General features: G+C 52.2%; 1 protein-coding gene across 9 annotated transcripts in view, besides 1 other annotated feature; it reads left to right on the forward strand.

Annotated features, from left to right (window-relative positions):
* Nucleotides 4,784-5,006: a silencer, noted in NCBI's record as "fragment chr11:120105831-120106053 (GRCh37/hg19 assembly coordinates)". NCBI's record gives its function as "represses an EF-1alpha promoter that drives an FKBP-Casp9 reporter gene in an ReSE screen in K562 erythroleukemia cells {active_cell/tissue: K562}" and the evidence as "EXISTENCE:reporter gene assay evidence [ECO:0000049][PMID:32094911]".
* Nucleotides 6,300-17,258, forward strand: part of POU2F3 (POU class 2 homeobox 3) — an 83,308-nt gene continuing 72,349 nt past the window's right edge. For 3 of the 9 annotated variants that reach the window (NM_014352.4, XM_011542741.4, XM_017017487.2), the window contains exons 1-2: nucleotides 9,802-10,033; nucleotides 16,111-16,179. In NM_014352.4, the coding sequence (NP_055167.2) occupies nucleotides 10,006-10,033; nucleotides 16,111-16,179 (97 nt within the window). In that variant the 5' untranslated portion in view covers nucleotides 9,802-10,005. Of the gene's footprint in view, nucleotides 6,370-9,801; nucleotides 10,034-10,358; nucleotides 12,889-15,474; nucleotides 15,617-15,747; nucleotides 15,860-16,110; nucleotides 16,180-17,258 lie in introns of those variants that run through there. The other 6 variants (XM_011542739.3, XM_011542742.4, XM_011542740.3 and 3 more) reach the window with 5 other exon arrangements.

Raw genomic sequence — 17,258 nt, forward strand, 5'->3', positions numbered from 1 at the left:
GAAGTGAATTCTTGCATGTCAAGCATCTAGCACATAGTGCTGTTAGCCATTCTTAGTATCATTACTATTAGTGAAAAAAGCAGACATTCCTGCAGCTATAAGCCTGACTCAATGAAATCAGACATCTGGAAGGCTCTTCACTTCCAAAGTATCTTTCAACATGAAGAGGCTGTAATAGGAAGTGCCGGGCAGGGTTCTGGATGGTTCCAGAGCGAGGGATGTGCAGGCTGCATGTATTGGGAAAGGCTTTCTGGAAGAGTTGGGGTGTGGGTTGAGGCTGGAAGATGGTAACGATTTGGCAAGGTGGAGGCAGGAGTGTTTTAGGGGTTGGAAGAGTCTCATGGGTTCCCCAGGTGACCCAACTTTCTCAAGGAAGAGATGGGGACAGTCAGATCCTTCCTTGAAGGCCTTGGCGAGGGAAGGGGTTTGCAGGGTGGTCCCCTTTACTCTGCTCCCAGAACTCCCAGAACAGGCTGCAACTGCCCCTTGAACTCATGCAGGCCAGAGGGTTGAGGGAGCTGGGCTTGCTTGGCCTTGGTTGAGCTGAGGGTCAGCGGGGAGATAACCTTTTCAGGTGGGCACACCTCCCTTCTGAACCTGTTTTCAAGGACCAGCTCAGCCTTGCTGGGGGATGGGGAGGGAGCTGTCCCATCAGTCACCCCCCAGTCCTTTTTCTCCTTCCCTTTCTGCCAGGGCCTCCATCCCAAGCCCCAGCCATTGCTCCAGGTGGGCAAGGGATACTTGGAGAAGGCACCTGCTACCTCCTGTGTGCCTTTTTTGATGGAAGGGGAGTCCCCAAATCAGTATGTTTTCCCTTCTGATTTCCAAGTCACCAAAAATAATGCTTTTTTAAAAAGCAATGTTTTCAAGACTTGGAGTGTTTTTCTGACCTTCCTTGACTAGCACCTCCTAGCTTGTCTGGCCCCTGCAGTGAGGGGGCTCTGGACACCATCACTACAGACACCAGCTGCCTTGGGCTCCTTAGTCTCAGGGGATGGTGATGAGAAGAATCCCTGAGACTTTGGGCTGACCTTAACACTCTGCAAAGTAGGCACCTCCCACAGGGCCACATCCAAGGGCTCGAGTCCACCATTCCAAAGCACTCGCCCAACCGCCTTAGCCCCACTGTCACAGCACCTGAAATCCTGCCGTGACAGTCACTTCTTTGCTGAAAAGCAAATTTTAGTGTGCATCAGAATCACTTAGGAGCTTGTTGAAATAGATGTAGGTGGTCAGCTGTTTGGCAAACACTGAGATAAGACTTCCCTATCGCAGGAGGCTTTTGTGGCCGTGTAAAACACTTGGGAGTGGTAATATCAGTACTTATTTCTCTGCGGACTTTAGGGTTTACAATGTGCCTTCATATAAATTGGCCATTGGCTCCTTGTAGTGACTCTGTAACATTTTATAGATGTGGCTCCCTTATAAAATTGTGTGACCAGCCCAAGTTCAAGTCCAGGCATCTTGTTAGAACAGAACTGAGATCCAACCCCTGTCCTTCTTACTCCACACCCCCTCCCAACCCAAAGTGCTTTATGAGGTTGGCCAGCCAGAACTTCCGAGAGCACAGCTCACCCACAGGAGGGGACCTAGGCTTCGGTGGGACGGGGAGGAGTGTGGAGTGTAGAGCACCTGCTGGGCCAGTCTCTGTAGTAGCAATCATTGAACATGTGGGCAGGGGGTGGTGGGGACAGTGTCCAAAGATTCCTGGGACCAGAATTGGCAGGAAGAACTGCCTGATTTCCGTTTGCCAGGGTAAGCAAAGCACCCTCGGGGAGGCCAGAAACCCAGCCCTGACTGGTGCTGCTGCAAGCCGGGAGGATGAGTTGTGCCTGGTTCCCTGGGCAACCTCACCCGGGCTGGGCTGGACCTCACTATGGACTTCCTGTGGGTTTTCTTCAGGCATCTCTCCCTTCAGGCTTGTTAGCCAAGGGAGGCCTTCAGTGGGGGAACTGTGGGCCACAGCTGGAGGACCTCTACCCCAGGGTCTTTATTGGACCTGGCTCTGGTGGATGAGGGGACAAGGACTCCGGCAAAAAGGAGGGCAAGTGCCACTCTCAAGAACCAAAGGCTCGAGGCCAGCATTGTATCTGAGGAGCATGGGCACCCGCTGGGGCCCAGCTCTGTGTGACCTTGTGTGGGTCACACACATCCCATAAGAGAGAGGGTCTCACTGGGTTATCTCCAAGGTCTTCCCCAACACGGGCATTCCATGTCTAATCGCCTAATATTCTCCCAAATGGTCTATTGGCCATTTGGCTACTGATGGAAAATCGAATTGTTTACTGTGACTTGCTCTTACAAGCCAGGTTGTAGGCAGGAATAGAAAAAACAGGCAACTGACTCTAATCCCAGCACTTTGGGAAGCCGAGGCGGGCAGATCACCTGAGGTCAGAAGTTCAAGACCAGCCTGACCAACATGGCGAAACCCCCTCTCTACTAAAAATACAAAAATTAGCCGGCGTGGTGATGGGCGCCTGTAATCCCAGCTACTTGAGAGGCTGAGGCAGGAGAATCGCTTGAATCCGGGAGGCGGAAGCTGCAGTGAGCCAAGATCGCACCACTGCACTTCAGCCTGGGTGATGGAGTGAGACTCAATCTCCAAAAAAGAAAAGAAAAAACAGGCAACTGGAATGTCTGTGTCACAGGCGTGAACATTGTAGATGCTGTCAGATCACCCTACAGCTGGGGCCGTTCCAGTTTACACACAACTAGCAGTGTCTGAAAGTTCCCGTTCTCTCATATTCCTGTGGTATCAGTCAGGGCTCTCCAGAGAAACAGAACCAGTAAGATACACACATAGAGAAAGATTTATTTTAAGGAATTAGCTTGCTGGATTTTGGGGTCTGGCAAGCCCAAAATCCTAACAAACTAGCAGTCTGGCAGCTGAGGCAAAACTTAATGTTGTGGCCAGCCGGGAGTCTGAAATTTGTAGGGCAGGGCAGCAGGCTGGAAGCTCAGGCGGGACTCTTGTGTTATAGTCTTAAGGCAGAATGTCTTCTTCAGGAAACCTCCATTTTCGCTCTTTAGGCCTTCAACTGATTGGATGAGGACCACCCGCAATACAGGGGTGATCTTTTACTTAAAGTCAACTGATTATAAAGGTAGTCACGTCTATAAAATACCTTCACAGCAACGTCTAGGCTAATGTTTGACAAAACAGCTGGGTATGAGAGCCTGGCCAAATTGGCACATAAAATGAATCATCATGCCTGCCATCGCTTGGTATTGTCATAAACTGTTCGCTGTTTGACCAGTGAGAAACATGACAGCATTCCAGGGCTTATTCTCAGTATCAGCTATTGGCTGTAGCCAGGTGACAGCTGGGATGGTTGTTCCCCTCCACCCTCCTCTGCCCTCACCTGGGATTCCTCACCCTCTGGCTTCAGCCGATGAGAAGCACTGCAGGTGGGAGCACAGGACAGCAGTGGGGTGTCAGTTCCCTGCTGGCTGCCTCAGCACCACACATGTGGCACTGGCTTCATTCCTCCAAGGCTCCAGATCTTCCGGGGCTCCCATACCACTGTCTCCTCCTGTTGCCTCTTCTGCCCTCGCTTCTCTGTGCAGCCCCTCTCTGGGTGCTGGTTCCCTTAAGCCTGCTGGCATCTCTGTCAATAACACCTTTGTTAGAGGCACTCCGAGTTAAGTTGGTTCTGTTTTCCTGCAGAAACCCTGACTGATAACCACAGTGGCCCCAGCTGGGGACCTAGAAGGTTAGTGGTAGAAGGGAAGAGGGTAAAAGCGGGTGGAAAGTGTAGGCTCACTTGGTGGGTATTCAGTGCAGACCTCCATGGAGAAGGGCTGGACCTCAGGAGCTCTCAGTGGAGCCAGGGAAAGACAGTCACAAGGGTGGTGTCCACATGCCCCTGGGGGGCAACTATCTCACCAGCCCTGGCTCCTGTGACAAGGTCCTGATTCCTAAGCAGGGAGAGGCAGGATGAGAGGCAGCTCCCTCCCCTCCTACATCACAGAAAGCAGAAGCCTCGAGAGGAGAAGCCTCTTCACCACTCCCTGGCCTACGCTGGCACCCACCTTCCCAGTTCCCCTCCTGACCTCATGGAGACATGTCTTTTCTCCCCACTCTCCCGGACCTCCCTCTCTGGGGGAAATGATCCCCTCTTCCTCTAGCATTGCTCCCTTTCCTGCTTCCTTCCCAGTGGCCCTGGAGAGTTCGCATTCTTTCTCATCTTAAGAACAAAATAAAAAAACACCTCAAAACCAGGTCCCTCTCCACCTCTGCCCTATTTCTCCCGGCTCCTTCACAGACCACCTTTTTGCCAGCATCCTCCTCCCCAGCACTTTCCAACCTTGGAATCGCTACTCAAGGCTATGCAGCAATCAGCTAGGATATGTGTCACAAGTCATCTGTTACTGAAATGGCTGAACTATTTTCACCGAAGTCAGGGCAGATTCCAGGTCCTTCCCATGTGAATATCACCACCCTCGTGGCTCCTGCTTTCGCGCCTTCACACTCAGTCCTTGTCTATACGCTGATCCCACGGGGATCAGTGCCCTTTGCAGCTGCAAAGGGAAGTACAGGAGGTAGGACATTTTGACTGGCAGAGATGTCCAGCAACAGGACGGATAGCCCAACGGGCCAGGAGCACCTGTCACTGCGTTGACTGAGCAGAAACAACCAAGCTGGCTGACTCCAACTAGGGTTCTGGGCTGAGGTCTGGTCTTTGATGGGGAGCAGGGACTGGAAGACCCAATGGTAGTCTGAAACTAAAATTCAACATCCCCATCTTGCCTAGACCTGGGGCCCTCCCCTGTGCATCCCCCAGCCATGGATGGGCACTCCTGTGAAAAGATCTCTCCAGGGTCTTGCAGGTAGAGGTGCAAAAGTCAGGGTCACACGCCCCTGTGACCACGAGAGGGCGCGCAGGGCCTAGACTTGCCCTGAGCGTGTAAGTGGATTGGGAAGGTTACCTGGGGTGAGGTGGGTCCAGGCAGCCAGGAAAGGGCTGGCTGAGGCAGAGGCTGAGGCTGGGCTCTGTCGAAGGTGCAGTTAGAAAGATCCAGCTCAGGTCCAATGCCGGCCTCAAAGTCAAAAAAATTGATTGGAAGCAGAGTTGCTGTTATGTTGTCTTTAAATTAAATATATGTTGCTATTATCAATGATTCTGAACTTTTAAGTGCAAAATGGACAATGAATGTGTGTGTACTGCCCCCCGACATGGGTGAAGGCTGGGTATGGGGAGATGTCTCTTGGGCAAGGGCAGGGGGTATTCAGCATTAGAGACATCAGAGCAGAGAATAGCTCTGTATCCTGACTCTGGTGTCCTCTACCCATCCCCTCGCCAGTCACAGTTACCTTATCCTGGTTCCCAAGACACCTTTCACTGTGTCACCCTGACACGAACCCCACCTCCACCAAAAGCCTCCCGGCAATGATGCCCTCAGATGTACCTTGACATATGATTTAAAACAGGCCTGGAAGTCCTTCCTAGCCTCTCCCTTGCTCCCATCTGCTTTTATTGGGAATCTGAGTTTGGATCCATTCTCTTTGATCACCCTGAGGCAAGGAGCTGACCCTCTCCTGTACCCCCACGCTCTGGGCCCCATGGCCCATCTGGCAGAAGGAAAGGGCTAGAAGGGACTTGTTCCTTGGTGGCCTTCCAGGATGCCTCACTCTCCGCCCTTCTCCTAGCCCTGACAACTCAATCCAGCTGACAGGACAGGAAATGGGAGTGAGCCCAGGGTCTACAGCCAAGAAGGTCCCTTTTCCCTGCTGAGGTGGGGATGGGGCTTGGGCCCACTCCACGCAGTACCCTCTCCAGGGCTGTGCACCATTTCCACCCACTGTGTCTGGAAAGGAGGCTTGACTCTTAGAGCTTTCTGTCCTTGAAACAAAAGAAGTTGATGATATGTTCAAATAGAAATGAAGCCTGGGGCACTAGTGACTCCCTAGAGGTGCAGCCAAGGGGGTTAGATGTCACTCCAGGAGACCCCGGAGGACCTGGGGAGGGGTCAGAATTGATGACAGTTTCAAAACCACAGCATCCTGGAGTAAGGCTTCTGCTACTCTGAAAAAAGTCCTCCAGCTGTTGAGAGAGGTGGGGTAAGGGAGGGAGGGAGGGATGATTTGCATTTAATTTGCATTTCATTTACATATAGTTCTTTTGATGTCCAAAGGCACAGAAATTTCCTGTCCTGGCTTCTTTTTCCCTTTCTTTCTTCTGTTCCTTTCTAACCTCCAGGCAAACCCCTATCTCTCTCTCTTCCCCACAGCTTTTCCTCTCCTAAGCTAAACAGGGACAGGGAGTATCAGGCTCAGGGGGGTTGACATTTTCCTCTCTATCTCACTCCAGCCCAGAGCTCAAAAAACCGGTTTCATGGAGTCTCCAAGAACTGCTAAAGGAGGAAGGGGTAAAGGAGTTCTCTACGTTCCCATTCTAGCTCATCTAACTGAAATGATCAGTGAGCAAGTCTGAGAGAGAAGGAATAAAGATTGCTCACCATTCCCCCTCAACCCTATACACAGGTGGGACTTAGAGGGCACCCCAGCCTTCTAAGCCTCAGGGCACATGAGGGAGAAGCAGGGAAGAGTAGAAACGTCTCTGCTGAGCCATATGTTTGTTCTGTTTTCTGGGGTAAGTCCCCCTCCTTGTGGGCCTCAGGTCCCTCAAATGAAGGGTTCAATGATATCTAGGTTCTTTCTACCTCGTTATCTGATAAGAGAAGGGGAAGCTCAGATTCAGAAACTGGAGGGCAGGACTAAAATCCTGGCTTTGGGGTTGGCAGCCCTGGGTCTAAATACCAACTCTGTAGTCTACTAGCTGCGTTTACTTCTCTGAACCTCAGTTTTCTCATCTGTAACGCAGGGCTAATAATTGTACCTTCCATCTAAAGTGGCACTGACTAAAATCAGATGGTGTATGTTCAGCATGGAGCACAGTTCTTGGCACGTAGGAAGCACTCAATCTATATTCATTGAGTGAATGAGTAAATGAATGAATGTGAGGGAGTATCTGCTATCCTCTCCCCACCCAGCCCCTTCTGCCCCGTTCATCCTCCTACCTCCACACTCCAAGTTTGGAACCCAAAGCTGTGCCTCCAGCTGTGAACCTCCAAGGTCCTATCTGTGCCTCAGCTTCCACCCCAATCCCCACAAGAACTCCATATCCCCATTCCCCCCAGAACCCCAGAATCCTAGGCTGCTGGAGACAGAAGGCCCTTTGAAATTATCAAATATGGGCCTCTCTGACTTTTGGAAAACTAAAGCCCAGAGAAGAAATGTGACTTTGCACATGAAAAAGGGCAACGGGCCCCAGATAAGGTGGTCGGAGAATGAGACCCTCGGTGCACATGGCCATGCAAATAATATGCAAATAGAGATATGGAAATCACAAGCACACAGGGGTATATAAGCTGTGTGCAGGCATTTTTCCAGAATGGTGGTAGGTGAGTGCAGTTGTAGGTAAGAAATGGACTTCAGGGAAGGGGCCAAACCTGAAGTTGGGGAGGAGAAGAAAAGGCCAGAAGGGGATGGGAGTTGGGGGAGTGTTGAATAGGAGGGAAGGAAGGAACAGAGGCTGAGAGTGTCCTGAGAGGGACCCCCTTGGGCCTCCAATAAGCCCTTGCTGGTCTCTTTCCTCACCCAGAAGAAACAAGAAAAAGTGCAGGGGACGGTGGCTCACACCTGTAATCCCAGCTCTTTGGGAGGCCGAGGCAGGCAGATCACCTGAGGTCAGGAGTTTGAGACCAGCCTGACCAACATGGAGAAACCCCGTCTCTACTAAAAATACAAAATTAGCCGGGCATGGTGGCGCATGCCTGTAATCCCAGCTACTCGGGAGGCTGAGGCAGGAGAATCGCTTGAACCTGGGAGGCGGAGATTGCCGTGAGCCGAGATGATGCCATTGCACTCCAGCCTGGGCAACAAGGTAGAAACTCCATCTCAAAAAAGAAAAAGAAAAAGAAGCAAGAAGAAGTTTCTCTCCTCCCTTCTTTTCGGGAGCGTGGGGAAGGGAGGTCCATGTGACTGGGGAGGGTGGTGTATGTGGACCTGAAGAAGCAATTAAGTGCTTCCTGTTCCTCTGGGGCCACTGTAGCACCCACAGAACACTTTCTGATACCTGTTGTGTGCCCAGCCCTGTTCTAGGTGCTGGGGTGCTGGCACTAGAATGAAGCAATTGATCAGTTACCAACCAGGGGGTAAGCTAAGAAAAGGCCCTCAGAACCTGCCACGAAGGCTGTTAAGAACATGGAACTTAGGCTGGGCGTGGTGGCTCACACATGTCATCCCAGCACTTTGGGAGGCTGAGGCGGGTGGATCACGAGGTCAGGAGATCGAGACCATCCTGGCAACGTGGTGAAACCCTGTCTCTCCTAAAAACACAAAAATTAGCTGGGTGTAGTGGCACGTGCTTATAGTCTCAGCCACTCAGGAGGCTGAGGAGAATCGCTTGAACCCAGGAGGTGGAGGTTGCAGTGAGCCGAGATTGCACCACTGCACTCCAGCCTGGCAACAGAGCAAGACTCTGTCTAAAAAAAAAAAAAAAAAAAAAAAAAAAAGAACACGGAACTTAAACTCTCTAAGCCTCATTTTCCCCATCTATAAAATGGCAATAATCATAGTACAATGTACAGGTTTTGAGGACTAAACAAGAACTAAAGGCACGAAAGATGCCTTTCAAGTGTTGGTCACCCCAGTGCTTGATACACAGTGAAGGCACACGAAATGCTGGGTGTTATCGTGGGCATGACTGGAGTGCACGGTGGGATGGGCGTGCCAGGGGGAAAGGACACTGTAAACAAGGTGTAGAGGCAGGAAAGCCCAAAACCTGTTCTGTGCTCAGAAAGTAGCCCATGGGACTAAGGAGAAGACATGTTCATGAGGAGTCCTGTCTGGGAAGGAAAGCGAGGCCCTGCCCTCCTGTCTGCACACAGCTTTCTGGGCTTCCATGCAGGCCATCCTGTGGTGACAGACCACTTACTGGGACTTGAAGAGACGAAGAGAAAGGGGTGAGCCTATGATGGGTGCTGCAAAGAGCACTGGAGTGGGAGTCCAGAGACCTGATTCCAGCCAGGCTCTGTCACTAGGGAAGTGTGCACCTTTGAGCAAGCCGCTTCCCCGCTCTGGAAGGTGGCTGTCACCAAAAGCCTGGGCACTGGTAACTTCCACATCCATCATCTCGTAGAGCCTCACAGCAACCTGGGACCTGGGGCGGGAGACTGGAGGGGCAAGCAGGAAGCAGTTGTGTGCACCTGGAAACTCTGCTAATAATAAACTGCACCCCGTCTAAATCCCACAATGCTGTGAGGATGCCATGGGGGCTAGGTGAGCTTGGTCACCTGCTCAGCCCAATAGGGAACCCGATTAGCACCTGTCCTGTTTTACAGGTGAGTTAAATGAGCTCAGGGAGGTGAAGAACCTTGTCCCAGCCACACTGCTGGTAAGCGGTTGGGAGGCGAGATTCCAAAACTGAATTCTTTCCAGCAGACCCCCGCGACTTCTCCAAACACTCCAACTCCTTGCAGCGCTTACACTTCGCGATCTGTCCAGAAGGAAGCTCGGGCTCAGGCTGGAGAACCCGCCAGGGCTTCCTAAAAAGGGCGAGCAGGACCAGGAGTTGGCGCCACTCCGGGCGCGGTGAGGAGGTGCTGCCAGGCTGGGTTGGAGCAGGCAGGTGTTCCGCGGGATCGAGACCCGCCCCGGCAGCACCCCCGGCCCCCTCCCCAGGTCCCCAGCTCCATGTATGCAAATCACTGCTTTGCATGGGCCTGGGGCCAGGCGCGGGGCTCCTGCCAGGGGGCGTGGCCGGCGGCCCCCGCCCCGCGCCGCGTGCTCACCTGGGGAGTGTGGCAATCCTGGCGGCGCCGAGTGTTGCCCGGGCCGGAGCAGCGGAGCGCGCGACAGTGGCGGCGACGGCTCCGGCAGCGGCTCCCGCGGCGGCGGCGGCCGGGAACTGGAGGAAGGAGACCCTGGCTTCGCAGGGGCCCCGGCTGGGGCAGAGGCGAGGGGCCTGGGGGGGCGCTGGCTTTGGCCCCGCCTGGGGCAGGATGGTGAATCTGGAGTCCATGCACACAGGTGAGGGGCGGAGGGAATGAGCTCTGACAGGTGTCACTGCGCGTGGGCAGGGGTGAAGGAGAGGGACAACGTTCTGGTTAGGGAGGGGGGCTTGTTTCCCAGCGGCCAGGAGAGGGCGGTGTGGATAGCGGGTTGTCCTGGGGTGGGTGCCGGTCAGTATTTGGGGACTAAAGGGAGGGGATCTGGGATAAGAAACCCTGGAAAAGAATGAGGGTGGGGGCTGGTGAAGGGCGGGAGGGCTTCGAAGCCCCCGGTCTGGGGAGTGGCAGTTGTATGGGACGTGGGTGTACTGAACTGTCATAGTCTCAGGAGGTTGCAGGGATGGGTGGTTCACTCACTCAGCCAGGGGTGTGGACCTGGGAGTGCATAAGTGAGGGAAATGTGTATGTCCACATGCTGTGTGCTGGTGTCCGGGCATATGTGTGAAATGGAGGCAAAGCGGACATTTAGGTGGTTGGGGGGCTTAGGAGAAGTGGCTGAGGTGGGGCAATTACAGAGGTGCCCCTGGGGCAGGGGCCATGCCCCCATGTGTTTGAGAAGGGATGGTGACAGACACATCCTCTGGGTTCCATGTCCCATGCCTTCCTTCCCTAAGGGGTGGAAACCTAGGAGATGCAAATGCTTTGCCGGGAGTCAGGCTTCCCTGAATGAATGAATGAGAGGTGGGCATGGAGGGAACCCAGCCCCTCCATTCACCTTGCTGTTCCTCCTTCCACAGCTGGGCTAAGGCAGGAGCTGCCAGGCAGCCAGGTTGGGCTTGGCTTGGGGCTTCCTGTTAGGGTGGGCCTTCTGGAGGTCACAGGGCCTGAGCAAAGAACAAGTGAAGAAAGCGGTACCTGACCTGGCCATTTCTAACCTAGCAACTTACTCTCAAAGTGGGCAGGACCCAGTGATCTTTCTTTAGGATTTCGGGGCTGTTGATGGGAATGTTGTTACCTGGTCTCCTTTCTGGGAGAGTAGGGAGGAGGCAATGCTCCAGACCCACCCCAAGAAGCAGAGCAGGCCTGAGGCCTACCCAGCCTGAAAACAAGCGTCAGTGAGTGCCCGGAGGGAGGGGACCTGGAGTGCCCAGTTCCCCAGATGCTGTTTCCTGGCAGGGCTGAGTGAGAGGCAGACTGGCAGTGAGATGTTGGCACTGAGTGGCTCTCCAGGACGTGCCAGAAAGGCTAGGTGAGGCGGAAGAAGCCATCCAACTGGGTGTCATCCAGAGTCTGAGGAAAGTCTGTTTCTAGACTGGGCATACCTGGGGCAGATCCCCGGGTAGGTGCTCTCCCCTTCACTGCCCGCAGAGAAGGCCAGGGTTTGAATGGGAGCAAGTCTCTTCAGAAAGGTGGGCTTAGCAGTGGATGGGAAGTTTTTTAGCACCAAGATCACAGACTTCCTGGGGGTTTTCCACCTCCTTGTCTACTGGAGGCTCCCATTCTGTGGAAGTGGGAGGGGGTGGGACAGTTGGGACCCAGCAGGGAGGCAGCCTGGGGCCTCAGAGGATATAGCAGAGAGCAGAGAACACCAGAGGATGAGGTTGAGGCATAGGGCTTGGCCTCTATGCCTTCCCCAGGAGTGAGCTCCTGGCTGATGCTTCTCAGAAGCCCAGACACCTTCTCCACCCTGTCCCTGTGAGCAGGTATTCCCGACACATGGGGGGAGACTGAGCTAAACCCCAGGTGGGGTGATTCCTCAGGGCGGGATCTCCATGTACCTGGGGGTAGATTGCCCAATTCATCTCTCTCCATTTGCCTGCTCCCTCCCCAGCCCATTCCCCCCTCAGGGCTACCTGGCCTCCCTGTGCAGTTTCTGGGTCTTGGCCCCTCTGTAGTGTCTGAGGGTTCCCCTTCAGTGGCACCTCCAGAGGTCTCTGAGTTTAGGACTTTCTGTCCCATCTCTCTAACTGGGTCTCTATTAGAGGGCTCTCTTTGCTGGGTCCTCCTGGTGGCCTTTACTGTTCAAGATCTTCTTTGTAGGGTCTTCCAGTGCGCACCCTGCTGTGGGGTCTGTGAAGGAGGATCGCTCTTCCCTCTATGGAATATCTCATTATGGGTCCCTCTCTAGGGTCCCTTAGTCCAGGATCCTCTTTTGGAAATGTGGTCTCTTTTGAGTCCCATTTTCCCCCGCCAAGGTAATCCTGTATCCTACTGATCTTGATAAATAGTACTTCTCCTGTGAATTCCCAGGGCTGGGTCCTTGGGGTCTCCTCCTTAATTGACTTACTGGAGGAGTTTGGATGGGGGAAGGAGGAGGAACAGGAGCACACAAACTAGAGCATAGGCTTGCTCCCGGGTCGCCCACTCCAAGGGCTCCACTCGCACTGAGGCCAGCTGGAGTTAGCCCCATTGTCTTGCTCTGATAACCTGGGTACGAGCCATGATTCAGGTCTGCCTGGAGCCTTCGCACCTTGTACTTTATAGAGCATCTCTCACCTGGAAGCACAAAGACCTGAGCAGGCAGAGGGTCACCAGACACAGGGGCTCTGCAGCAAGGAGGGGCTCCCTGCTCCCTGACTAAAAACAGGCAGAGAAGTAGACCCGAGACAGCCAGCTAGGGAGGCAGATAAGAGACAAAGGAAAACAGTGGGAAGCCAGCGGGCGGGGGCACACCTGGTTTGCCCCAGGTGTCTCTTTCTCTGCCCTTCTCCTCACTGTGAGCTTTTCCCCACCAAGGTTGGGAAAGGGGGGCTGAGTCTCACAGACGGGTGCCAATTGGAGCTCAGGAATAGCATTTGGGTTGGAAGGCCTGATGATGGGACTGAGAAGAAATGAGAGAAGTCTCCTCTGGCGGAGAGTTGGAGCCTTGGCTAGCTCAGAAGTGGGGCCGGTGGGTCCTTTGAAGTCTCCCAGTGGAAGTGCCGCCATCAGCAGGTATGTGCGGGAGGAGCCAGAGGGAGCTCCCGTCCTTCCAAGAACATGAAGATGGACACTAGGAGAGAGGGCTGTGGCTTCTGCTTTCCCAGAGTAGCCTGGTCCCAGGAGGTCCAGGACCCTCAGCCTGCAGCCTGTGGGGAGTGCTTCCTCTCGAGCTTTCTTCCCTGGGGTTCACAGATGTCTAAGGAGGGCCCACTCCTGGTCAAGCCAACGCTAACTTCAGGGTGTGATGGTGCTGAGTGGGGCAGCCAAGGGTCTGCAGCTGGTGTCTGGGCTCTTTCACAGAGCAGCTGAGCCTCCCCAGGGAAGGGAGTGATGGCAAGGAGCCTACTCAGTGTCTGGCTGAGATAACACAGAGGAGCCTGGCCCCACCCCACACCTCTCTCACTCACCCCTGGCAAGTGCTGTCCGACAGGTGAAGGGTTACAGTGTCTCAGGGAGTTTCGGTGTTGGCCCATTTTTAGGCTGAGACCCAAAAGCTCGTCCCACCCATCAGCCTCAGCCTCCTACCCAACAGGAACAGGTTCTCAGTGTCTTAGCATCCTATGGGACTCAAGAAGAGGCTTGATAGGTTATCTCACCCTGCCCCTCCAATCCTGAAGTGGCACCTTGTTGATCCCATAATGGATACATCAAATGAGTAGACAACATGGCAGATGAGGAGGGGAGGGGGTTGATGCCTTTGAAAGTTATTTTTAGACATGATTAAGACTAAATGTCAGGCTAACTTGAAGGATGAATGAGAGCTTCTGTGTGTATTTGATGAAGGTGATGTGGAGAATGGGTGTTGGAGGAGAATTTGGGTTCTAGGCATGCGATTACAGTTTAGCTAAAGAATTACCTTCTTAAATTTCAGGAGTTTGAAATGAGTTGATTCAGAGACTCTGGTCATCATCCCAGCGTCACTGCCTCTTAACTTTTTCCTGTCCTCATGAACACTTTTTCTGTGAAGTCAGAATTTGGAGAATCCTAATGGTTTCCCAGATAAAGGACAAATTACAATGGTGCTGAGACAGAAAACCAAAGCTATTCCTTATAATGGGGCAAGGGGTTAATGGAGGGGCATGAGAAGAAGGCAGGAAGGGAAGCGGACTAGCATCTAAGCCTAAGTGTCTGTTTAATTAGTTCATTTATTAGGTGCTTACTTTGTGCCTGGAACTCCTTTCCTGGCAGTTTTCATTCAGTATTTCATTTAATCCTCACAAAAACCCTGGGAAGTGTATATCATTATTCTCATTTTTAGGTGAGAAAATTCACATCCGAATATGTGGCTAGGGTCCCCTAGCTAGTTAGTGATGGCATTGAGATTAATCCAGGTTTGTCTGATGCCAAATCCCATGCTCTGAATCCTGGTGCTGATGAAGCAAATTGAAACCACCAGTGGGGGAGAACTTCCTGTGCACCTTTCCAGCAGTCTCTGACTCAGGGCCTCTTCTCAGCACTGTTGAAGAATCCCCATGGTGAAGTATGAGCTGAGCAGATCTGCGTTAGGCAATGCCCAGCTCCAGGGGGGATAGTACTTAATGGGTGGGAGAGGGGAGCCCGTTTCTCCATTGGAACAGAAGGCCAGTGGCAGCAGAAGCCCTTTGCAAATGTGTCTGGGCGGTCCATAGTAGTTATTCTGCATATTCATGCATGGCAAACTATAGAGAGTTTGAGACTGCAGCAGGACGGATTGAGGTTAGGCTCAAGAAATGCCTCCCTAAACGCTGTGCACTAGGAGGGGAGGGGGTGGGGTAAGGTTGCAGGTCTTCCTCAGAGCTCTGTGACCGACCACAAAGTGCAGTGTAGATTTGTCTGGGGAGGGTTCCATAGAGCTCTAAGTGTTTACCTTGGCGTCTTCCCTCAATTTGGCTGGTCTTGAAAACTCCTTAAACCACAGTGACTCCTGACTTTCTCCCCTATTTCTGGGGTATTCTAGCCTCTAAATCTCTGGATCCCCCATCTATGTCTTGTTTGGCATCGAAGCTGCTACACTCCAGAGGTGTACACCTCGGCCGGAGCCACACACGTTAGTCCTCACACACATGAAAAAGTAGGTTTTCTCCCCTCTTTCCCTGGGGCACAGGTCTACCCTTTTTCCTCATCCTGATCATCTCCAGACCTGGGCATCCGGACTGCCAACTGCCTGATTACCTGATGCAAATTAAGACTGCCTGCTTGACTGGGATTGGCTGGGGAGCTGAGTACGCAAATTGGCTCACCAAGACTTTATCTGGTTTGAAAGAGTTAAAGTGCTGCCCCAGAGAAGGGGGGGTGTGGGGGTCAACATGATTTGAATAAATATTCTTCTGTCTTTAAGGCTTCAGTCTTTGGGTGGTTTAATAAGGAGAGGAGCAGAGAGAGAGTGAGTTGGTTCAAAGTTGCCTCTCTTCTTCCCCCTGCTGACCCCAAGAGGAGACTTAGGGGCCTCCCACATAGGTGGTGGCAGCTGTCTGTTAAGGGTAAATGTTTAATTTATTGAAATGAAGCAGGGCAGAGAGGCTGGACCAGCAGGACTTGGGGGCTGAGCCAGGGGCCTGGTGTAGGTATTCTCTTTCTGTGGGGCACTGACCCGCTGCCATCCCTTTCTCACTGAGCCAGTTGAAGGAGTAGGAGAGAAGGTAAGGATCCCCAAAGGACAGGATCTCCAAGGAGGACAACACAGGAGCTAGGACTTGATCCCCAGACTGTGGGCTGACCTCTGAGACCAGACAGAGAACCCAGGCAGGACCTGGGAAGAAAGGTGAGAAGGGCAAGCCTTGGTTTAAGGGCACTCTTACCTTCCAGGATGGGGTTATTAAGGGAAACAGAGCTGGGGAGGCAGGCGGGGAGGGATAATTCTTTCACTATTTAAAAATAAAATAAATTCCTCAGATCCCAAAGGAAACGAGTGTTGGAAATGGGAAGTGTCCCCTCCACCCCCTTGTTAAATTTTTACCAACTGAGTCCTGGTGATAGAAGCAAGTGGCCATGAATGATGCAAAAGGTGAGAGACCCTGCAGTGGCACCGGGGAAAGGGGAAGAGAAAGGCAAGGAGAGGAGGCGAGCATGGGAGGAGGGGATCCGTGCCCTCAAGCTTATGAATATTCTAATGGTTGTATGTTCGGGAATCAGGAATTTGAAAGTCTGATGGTTGTTGTAATTACACATTCATCTTTGTTATTTAGTTAAAGCCACATATGTCATAGCAAGAAAAATTGTGACCTGTTATTAAAATCAGTTGTGTTTTCCCTGCAGATATCAAGATGAGTGGGGATGTAGCCGATTCCACGGATGCTCGCAGCACTCTCAGCCAGGTGGAGCCAGGTAAGGGTCTTCTCTTCTCGGGGATGGAGGGGGTGGGGGGAAGAGAGTTGTTGGGAATTGTTGAACAACTGGTGTCTCTTCTTGCTTGGTCTTTCAGCCAACCAGACCCCAAAGCTAGGTCTTAGGAACTAAGGGAATTCCCTGAGGACATGGGATATGATTCTGGAGCCTTTGAACAGTAGATATTGCTCCACAGTGGAACAAAACCTCTGGAATTAGGCTAGGAAGAGACCAGATACTTAAAAACAGAACAAAACCAAAAAAGTTCAGGAGCAGCTGTGTTCCCAACTGCTGTGACTGGCAGAGGCAGAACCTGTCTTTCTTAGATGGGGACAAGGCCTTTTAGCCCCAGATACCTTGATAGTCCTACTCAAGGCACTAACCAAAGAGGCCTGTGTACAAATGTTTCTCTTCCAAATAACGTGCATGTGGGTGGCAAATAGGCTCAGAGAGAAAGGCTTGGTGCCTGGAGGTGACTTTGCTTTGGAAAGAAGGGAAAGGATGTCAGTAGTCCCAGCTAGTCAGCAGGCCAAGGTGGGAGGATTCCTTGAGCCTAGGAGTTTGAGGCTGGACCGTCCCAAAAAAAGCTGAGAGGAACAAAGAAGAATTAAAAAAGAGAGTTTCATAGCTCTCTATTTTTACCTCCATAGTTCAAGCCTTGCTTTGAAAGCTCCATATAATTAAAAAGAACTTAAAGATGAGTATAAATTGTAGCACCACCAAATAACTTTAATAGCATTCCAACCAGACCTCAATTAGTCTTTCATCTGGATCATTAGAGACATAGAAATTAGAAGTGGAAGAGAATCAATGTCCCCCAGAGCTAAAATCTTTTTCAAATCTTGTAGAGCAGTGTAGTTCCATTCTTGAAGCTATGAGATTCTTGTCAGGGGCAAGATAATTGGGGGTCTTGGCGGGGAGGGCATCCACAGTATGCATTTGCCATAAACTTTTCTGCTCCCCAGTTTAATACTGAAACAGTGTTTCCTTGCACAGGTAGCAATACACATCAAACTACAATCTTTCTATTTTGCTTTGCTTATGTACAGAGGCAGCAAGACTAAGGAGAATGTGGGCCG

The sequence above is a fragment of the Homo sapiens genome, chromosome 11, assembly GCF_000001405.40.
Source record: "Homo sapiens chromosome 11, GRCh38.p14 Primary Assembly".
NCBI classification, from domain to species: domain Eukaryota; kingdom Metazoa; phylum Chordata; class Mammalia; order Primates; family Hominidae; genus Homo; species Homo sapiens.